This window comes from Homo sapiens, chromosome 18 (assembly GCF_000001405.40).
Source record: "Homo sapiens chromosome 18, GRCh38.p14 Primary Assembly".
Taxonomy (NCBI): Eukaryota; Metazoa; Chordata; class Mammalia; order Primates; family Hominidae; genus Homo; species Homo sapiens.
The window spans coordinates 56567922-56575768 of record NC_000018.10 but is presented as its reverse complement, the minus strand read 5'-3'; the positions used below and the strand labels follow the sequence as shown (position 1 = coordinate 56575768).

General features: G+C 45.6%; 1 long non-coding RNA gene across 1 annotated transcript; it reads right to left on the bottom strand.

Annotated features, from left to right (window-relative positions):
* Nucleotides 1-603: 603 nt before the first annotated feature.
* LOC105372135 (uncharacterized) lies at nucleotides 604-2272 on the bottom strand. Its single transcript, XR_935514.4, has 2 exons — nucleotides 2067-2272; nucleotides 604-1392 (listed from the first exon to the last, which is right to left on the bottom strand). It is a non-coding gene; the product is annotated as an uncharacterized LOC105372135 (long non-coding RNA).
* Between the last annotated feature and the right edge of the window lie 5575 nt (nucleotides 2273-7847).

The following is a 7847-nucleotide window of genomic DNA, read 5'->3' as shown; positions in this document are numbered from 1 at the left end:
GAGACTAGAAATGATCAATTGATGTTTAGAGAGATAAAGTTTGATTCAATAAAAAGAACTTCCTAAAAATACAATAGTCCATCATGTAACACAGTGCCTTATGAAGCAATGAAGTCCTTGTTACTGCAAAGGTTCAAGCACCTACATAGTGGCCATCAATGGGGAAGATATCCTAGAAGAGACTATTTGGGGAAGAAAGTTGGACTAAGTGACACTGAGGATTCTTAGATCCATGATTCTACACATGGTGATGACAGTCATTCAACAGCCAAGAAGGCAGCAAGAGTTGAAAATGTGTGCTTACAGAAATACAAATGAAATATTTGAGTTTACTTAAACCAGGGAAAATAGGGTTCTTAAAGAAGCCTCACAGGGGAATTGCCACAATTGTGCTGTTTTGTGAGGCTCTGCCTGGGAAGCACTGGTGAGAAGGAACTGTTCGGCTTTGGTGCTTCCAACCTCTGGTTCCAAAATGCTCCCCATCCCAGGGACACAGCTCTTCCCTCCCAAGGACACATGGTCTATTTGGCCCTCCTCTGCTCATCAAAAGTTGATCTCAACTCATCCTTGTAAAGTAAATCTGAGAGTAACTTAGTGGCAGTCTTTCCAGTGTGTTGCATTTTATTAGGGAACAAAGCCTTAAGGCTAAACTAAAGGACTGAAACTCAGTCTGGGAATGGAAGGTCTCAGCTGGCTCGCAGGGGAGGAAACAGGCCCTTGTTTGACCTCTGGACAGTTGCTTTTTCTGCCAAGACGATAAGCCCCAGAGTATGGCTGGCTCTTGAAGGACATCACGTGAGCTACCAAGATTGATAAAAACAAAACAAAATACTTCCACATACTTCTTGCTCTAAACAAAAGAACCACAGCTGAAATATGACCTAAGGCTACCCAAGACTTTGAGGTGCAATCCTAATATGTATCAGGGAACATGGCTTGATAAAATCGATCTAAATACATGCAATAAAAGCCAGATTATATAACATCTTTCTAAACTCAGAGTTTGGTAAAATATCACATGATTAGCCTAGAAAGTGGGTTTACTATTTCCTTCTCATTCCAAGAGTGAAAGGATTTACTCATGCTCACACTCTCTAGGTATGCAAGAGAGTTGCTCACCTGTTTACTTGGACTCTTGACCAGATGTTAAATGAAATATCTTCATCTCCATTCCCACGGTATCATAGATGCTTAGAGCTGGGGTGATCCCTGATGGATCCCATGGATCTACAGGCCAATGTCTTAATTCCACAGATGAGAAACTGAGGCCTGGAGTAGCTTTCTAGACTGGCAGTTTGCTGTCCCACCACCACACTGTCACCTTCCCAAAGGTGTGTTCTTGAAACACAGAGAGAGGTTTATACCGACCCAGGCACACATCTCCACCTGGCCCTGCAGGGAATCATGAACAGAGATGCGTGGGTGGGAGTGGAAATGTGATCTATTGCCATCATCTACATCGATGGTTCTTATGATTTTACTACCAAGGGCTGAATGTAGTAACTGCTCCCCTCACAGTGGGCCTTATGTCTTCAAAGATTAGGTCTACAAAACAAACCCCATTTGTTAAGTATTTGTTACTGCAATGACTTGCAGACAGGTATTGCTATCAACCTCAACCTTCTGATCAGTACAGAAAGCCGAGGTTTCAGCCTCAAGTTGATGCTAGCCCAGCTCACTGCAAAGAAGTTTGGTGTTTTAGCCTGAGCAATCTTCTGAAAAACTTGCTTTAGGAGTACTGAAATGTAGTACAGCTAAGGCCCTCCAAAGGTCTGGAAGCTCAGGTTCGCTTCCAGATCACCTACCCAAAGGTTATTCACGAGAATCCCTGGCCTTGACTTCATTAGCGCCCCTCCCTGAGTTAACCATGGTTCATCATGGAATCAGTGTGAGGTGAGGTTACAATCCGCCACCATCTAGCATCTACATGATTGCAATGGCCTTGTTACTATCTCCCTGGTTTTACCCTGCCCCGTCCTCCCTGAATCTATGCCCAACAGAGCAGCTATTAAAGTCATTCAACACTCCTCTGCTCCAAACTTGCAATGGCTCTGCCGTCTACTCACAGTGGAAGCAAAGTCATTCCAGTGATTCCAAGGTCCCACCTTCTCTGGCTTTTGCCCCCACCCCTTTACTCCTCTGATGTGGTCTATTCTTTTCTTCAACCCACTCTGCACACTGAGCGGGCTAAGTCAACGCCAACTTGCTGCTTCTCAGTGAGTCCACGCATGTCCGGAATTGGTGGGTTCTTGGTCTCACTTCAAAAACGAAGCCGCGGACCCTCGCGGTGAGTGTTATAGCTCTTAAGGTGGCGCCTCTGGAGTTTGTTCCTTCTGATGTTCGCATGTGTTCTGAGTTTCTTCCTTCTGGTGGGTTCGTGGTCTCGCTGGCTCAGGAGTAAAGCTGCGGACCTTCGCGGTGAGTGTTACAGCTCTTAAGGCGGCGCGTCTGGAGTTGTTAGTTCCTCCCGGTGGGTTCGTGGTCTTGCTGGCTTCAGGGGTGAAGCTGCAGACCTTCGCAGTGAGCGTCACAGCTCAGAAAGGTAGTGTTGACCCAAAGAGTGAGCAGCAGCAGGATTTATTGCAAAGAGCGAAAGAACAAAGCTTCCACACCGTGGGCTGGGATCCGAGCAGCTTGCCACTGCTGGCTCGGGCAGCCTGCTTTTATTCTGTTATTTGGCCCCACCCACATCCTGCTGATTGGTAGAGCCCAGTGGTCTGTTTTGACAGGGGGCTGATTGGTGCCTTTACAATCCCTGAGCTAGACACAAAGGTTCTCCACGTCCCCACCAGATTAGCTAGATACAGAGTGTGGACACAAAGCTTCTCCAAGGCCCCACCAGAGTAGCTAGATACAGAGTGTAGATTGGTGCATTCACAAACCCTGAGCTAGACACAGGGTGCTGATTGGTGTGTTTACAAATTTACAAATCTTGAGCTAGATACAGAGTGCCGATTGGTGTATTTACAGTCCCTGAGCTAGACATAAAGGTTCTCCACGTCCCCACCAGACTCAGGAGCCCAGCTGGCTTCACCCAGTGGATCCCACACCAGGGCTAAAGATGGAGCTGCCTGCCAGTCCCACGCCGTGCGCCCGCACTCCTCAGCCCTTGGGTGGTCGATGGGACTGGGCGCCGTGGAGCAGGGGGCGGCGCTCGTGGAGGAGGCTGGGGCCGCACAGGAGCTCATGGAGGGGGTGGGAGGCTCAGGCATGGCGGGCTACAGGTCCCGAGCCCCGCCACGCGGGAAGGCAGCTAAGGCCCGGCGAGAAATCGAGCTCAGCGCCGGTGGGCTGGCACTGCTGGGGGACCCAGTACACCCTCCGCAGCCGCTGGCCCCGGTGCTAAGCCCCTTATTGCCCGGGGCCGGCAGGGCTGGCCGGCTGCTCGGAGTGCGGGGCCCGCCAAGCCCACGCCTACCCGGAACTCCAGCTGGCCCGCAAGCGCCGCGTGCAGCCCCGGTTCCCGCTCGCGCCTCTCCCTCCACACCTCCCTGCAAGCTGAGGGAGCCGGCTCCGGCCTTGGCCAGCCCAGAAAGGGGCGCCCACAGTGCAGCGGTGGGCTGAAGGGCTCTTCAAGTGCCGCCAAAGTGGGAGCCCAGGCAGAGGAGGCGCCGAGAGCGAGCGAGGGCTGTGAGGACTGCCAGCAAGCACGCTGTCACCTCTTACAGGTACGGTCCTAACTCTGGGCCTTTTCCTTGCTGCTGTCCCTCCCTAGAGCTCTCTTCTCCAGGTATCCGGGCTGGACTCAAAGCCCAGCTCACTCACCTCCCTCATTCTTTACTCAAATGTCACCTTCTCACCACCAGCTTCCTGGCCATCTCATCTACAATTGCAACACCCTAGTCCCCACCACAAGCTCACCAGGGCCAATTCCCCCACTTTATTTTATTTTATTTTTTTTTTTGAGGCAGAGTTTCACTCTTCTAGCCCAGGCTAGTGTGCAGTGGCGCCATCTCAGCTCAGTGCAACCTCCGCCTCCCAGGTTGAAGCAATTCTCCTGCCTCAGCCTCCTGAGTAGTTGGGACTAGAGGCGCCTACCACCACGCTCCACTAATTTTTTGTATTTTTAGTAGAGATGGGGTTTCACCATGTTGCCAGGCTGGTCTTAAACTCCTGACCTCAGTGAGCCACCCACCTCGACCTCCCTAAGTGCTGGGATTACAAGCGTGAGCCACTGCTCCCGGCTGAATTCCCTCACTTTCTATCCTTTTTCTCTGCTTTATTTTTCTCCCTATCAATATCTAAGAACCCAAATATTTTGCTAAATAAACAAAACATTATTGTCTTTCTTCCCAAGTAGAACGTAAATTTTATGAGGATAGAAATTGTCTCTTTTGTTTATGGTTATGTTTAGTGCCTAAAAGAGTGCTTGGTACCTAGTCAGGAGATATTTATTGAGAAACAAGTGTATGAATGCCCACTATGCTCCATACAGCATCAGGCTATGATCTTAAAGGTTTCCGGGCAAAGTAACAAAATACTGCAGTAAATTCTAGGTGCAACATTTTAGGAAAATCACGCAGAACTGTGGGTGAGGAAAAAGCAGGTTGTCATCCTGGCTCTGCTAGAGTCTCATGTTGTGACCTTAGGCAAATTGTGAAATCTCTCTGTGCCTTGTTCCTACATTACAGATGAGAAAACAAATATTGACCTTATTTCTGTCACAAGGCTTTATAAGAGCCAAATGAAAAGGGGCATACAAGCGTCTTGAAAAGTTAGCCTATTCAAATGTAAGAAGTTCTTCTTTCAAAAATTAAATGTGTTCAAAATAGAAAGACTGAAGAGAGGTTCTAAATCTAGTACTGAGGGGGAAATACAGAAAGGAGAGAAGGAATAGAACAGAATGATCAGTATGTCAAACCCCAAACAGAAATAATTAAGAAGAGGATGTTGAAAGTTTGGGTCTTTGGACCCACACTGGAGACCCATAGCACTGGCTGGAGAGGTGAAATATTCTTTGCTCCAAACACATTAGGCCAAGTGATGAGAAGGATCAGATCATGTCATAATAATAACAACTACTGTCTATTTTACTTACTTTTTTTTTTTTTTGAGACAGAGTCTCGCTTGTTGCCCAGGCTAGAGTGCAGTGGCACAATCTTGGTTCACTGCAACCTCTGCTTCCTGGGTTCAAGCAATTCTTGTGCTTCAGCCTCCCAAGTGCTGGGATTGCAGGCATGTGTCACTCTGCCTGGCTAATCTTTGTATTTTTAGTACAGTTGGGGTTTCACCATATTGGCCAGGCTGGTCTTGAACTCATGACTTCAAGTGATCTGCCTGCCTCAGACTCCCAAAATGCTGAGATTACAGGCGTGAGCCATGGCACCCAGCCCTATTTTACTTTCAACTGTGAGCTCCATACTATGGGTTTTAGCTGGGTTGTTTAATCCTCACTACACTCTGAGGTAGGTATTCTGATCTCTATTTCATGGGGCAAAATACCAAGGCTTAGAGAAGTTAAGGGATTAAGTTCAAGTACCTATATATAGTGCCTGGGACATCAAACCTATTCCTTTTCCCCCGCCGACCCTGCTTTCCATTCATTCTCAGCCAAGTAAGAGAGAATTCTGTGGTAGGATTCTAGATACAAAGTCTGGAATTTTTATAGGAACAAAAATTCTCAGGGCTGGGCGTGGTGGCTCATGCCTGTAATCCTAACACTTTGGGAGGCTGAGGCAGGAGGATTACTTGAGGCTGGGAGTTGCAGACCAGCCTGGGCAAAATAGCGAGACACTGTCTCTACAGGAAAATTTAAAAATTAGTATGTCCCTGTAGTCCCAGCTACTTAGGAGGCTGGGATGGGAAGATTGCTTGAGCCCAGGAGTCCAAGACTACAGTGAGCTATGATTATACCACTGTACTCGAGCCCAGATGACAGAGTGAGATCTTGTTTCTTTAAAAAAAAAAAAAACTCAAATTTTCTTCCTTATAATAACATCTCACAATGTAGTACATGATCAAATACCATCAACCATCATTCTCCCATTTCTACATTTGTGCTAATCTTGTCTCTTTAAACAGCTTTTAATTTCTCAGAGTACCTACCATGGTTTTGGGCATTCAGTGGATCCTCACTGAATTGTTTGGCTAAATGGGTTCAGTTTCCTGAATGCTGTTAAACTACTGCGTGACCATTTCTGGGAGACTAGAATTTTAAGCTTTCTCAACTTCCTGTCTCCCACCTCTCTGAAAAAAAAATGAACATTAGATTAGGGAAGTTGGTGAGGAAGAGAAGTTTCCATTTAAGGATTTTTACAAGAATGAGTTGGTGGTGGAGATTTTGACTCTTATTTTTGCATCTAAATAGACTCAAGAAATGTAAGATTCTTAACCCCAAACACTTTAATGTATCATTTCTGCACACTTTCCAGCTTAGAAAAGGGAAGCTATTCATTTTCCAAAATATGAACAATATATAAAAAGTGAATTGATCTAATTTTCCGCCAAATTTTATAGTTCTGGGATAGTCATGGTTCCAGGCACCTAAAATGCACTTGAGCTCTGAAAACAGAAGCAACTTTTAGAGAAGTGACGTGTTGTCTTTCCGTCTCCAAGATTGTATTGGGAAACCACCACAGACTATTGTAGTCCAAATTACTGCTTAACTTGAAGGCCTTTTAACTGATTTAGCAAATGATTGCCCACAGCTTGGCATTGAGCAGCCTGAAACCACAGTGGAAATCACTAGAGTAAAAGAAGAAAACAAAATGTAGAAAAGATGTTTATGTTCATTCAAAAGTCTACATGTGTGTTTAAGTAGAAGTTATAGCCAAGTTCGACTTTCAAAAGTTCCTTAGGAAGTTTTCTGCTGAAGAGAGAGTAGCAGAGAGAAGCTATGCTTTTCCAAGTCTGAAAAACCTATGTGGTGTGCCCTCCAATTCCATGGAGACAAAAAATTAATTTAGATGTATTTTATACCAAAAGACATACTTGAGACATTGAAAGTATGTCTCACATTAAAAAAAAATTTCATCGTATTTTAAGTTCCGAGATACATGTGCAGAATGTGCAGGTTTGTTACATAGGTAAACGTGTGCCATGGTGGTTTGCTGCACCCATCAACCCAACCCCTAGGTATTAAGTTCAGCATGCATTAGCTATTTATCCTGATGCTCTCTGTCCCCGCCCCCCCGGCAACCCCCTCACATTTTTAAATTTTTTCACTGTATGAAATTGAAACCATATATATATATATATATATATATATATATGTAGTTTGTTTGTTTGTATATATATATAGATTGTTTGTTTGTTTGTTTGTTTGAGATGGAGTTTCGCTCTGTCACCCAAACTGGAGTGCAGTGGCGCGATCTCGGCTCACTGCATCCTCCGCCTCCCAGGTTTAAGCAATTCTCTGCCTCAGCCTCCTGAGTAGCTGGGATTACAGGCATCCACCACCATGCCCGGCTAATTTTTTTTTGTATTTTTAGTAGAGACGGGGTTTCACCATCTTGGCCAGGCTGATCTTGAACTCCTGACCTTGTAATCCACCTGCGTTGGCCTTCCAAAGTGCTGGGATTACAGGTGTGAGCCACCGTGCCCGGCCTATTCTTTATTTTTTTTATAGGTGGAGAAGTAAGGAGGCAGTTTGTATATCGCCTCTCAATTTCTCTCTCTCACACCCCCTTATAATATGGATGCTGAGTGACATCACTAACATCCATGTTGAAGACAAGTTGGATTTTAGTGACTGTTTTCCTTAGGTTTTGTGGGTACATAAATTGACTTACATATTTTCTATTTGATAATAGGTTCCAATTTGTATACACTCTCCAAAGTTCAGGTTTTTAGATAGTGTTGTACGATTCCCCCAAACAACATCTGCGATGTCTGAAAGAAAAATAAAA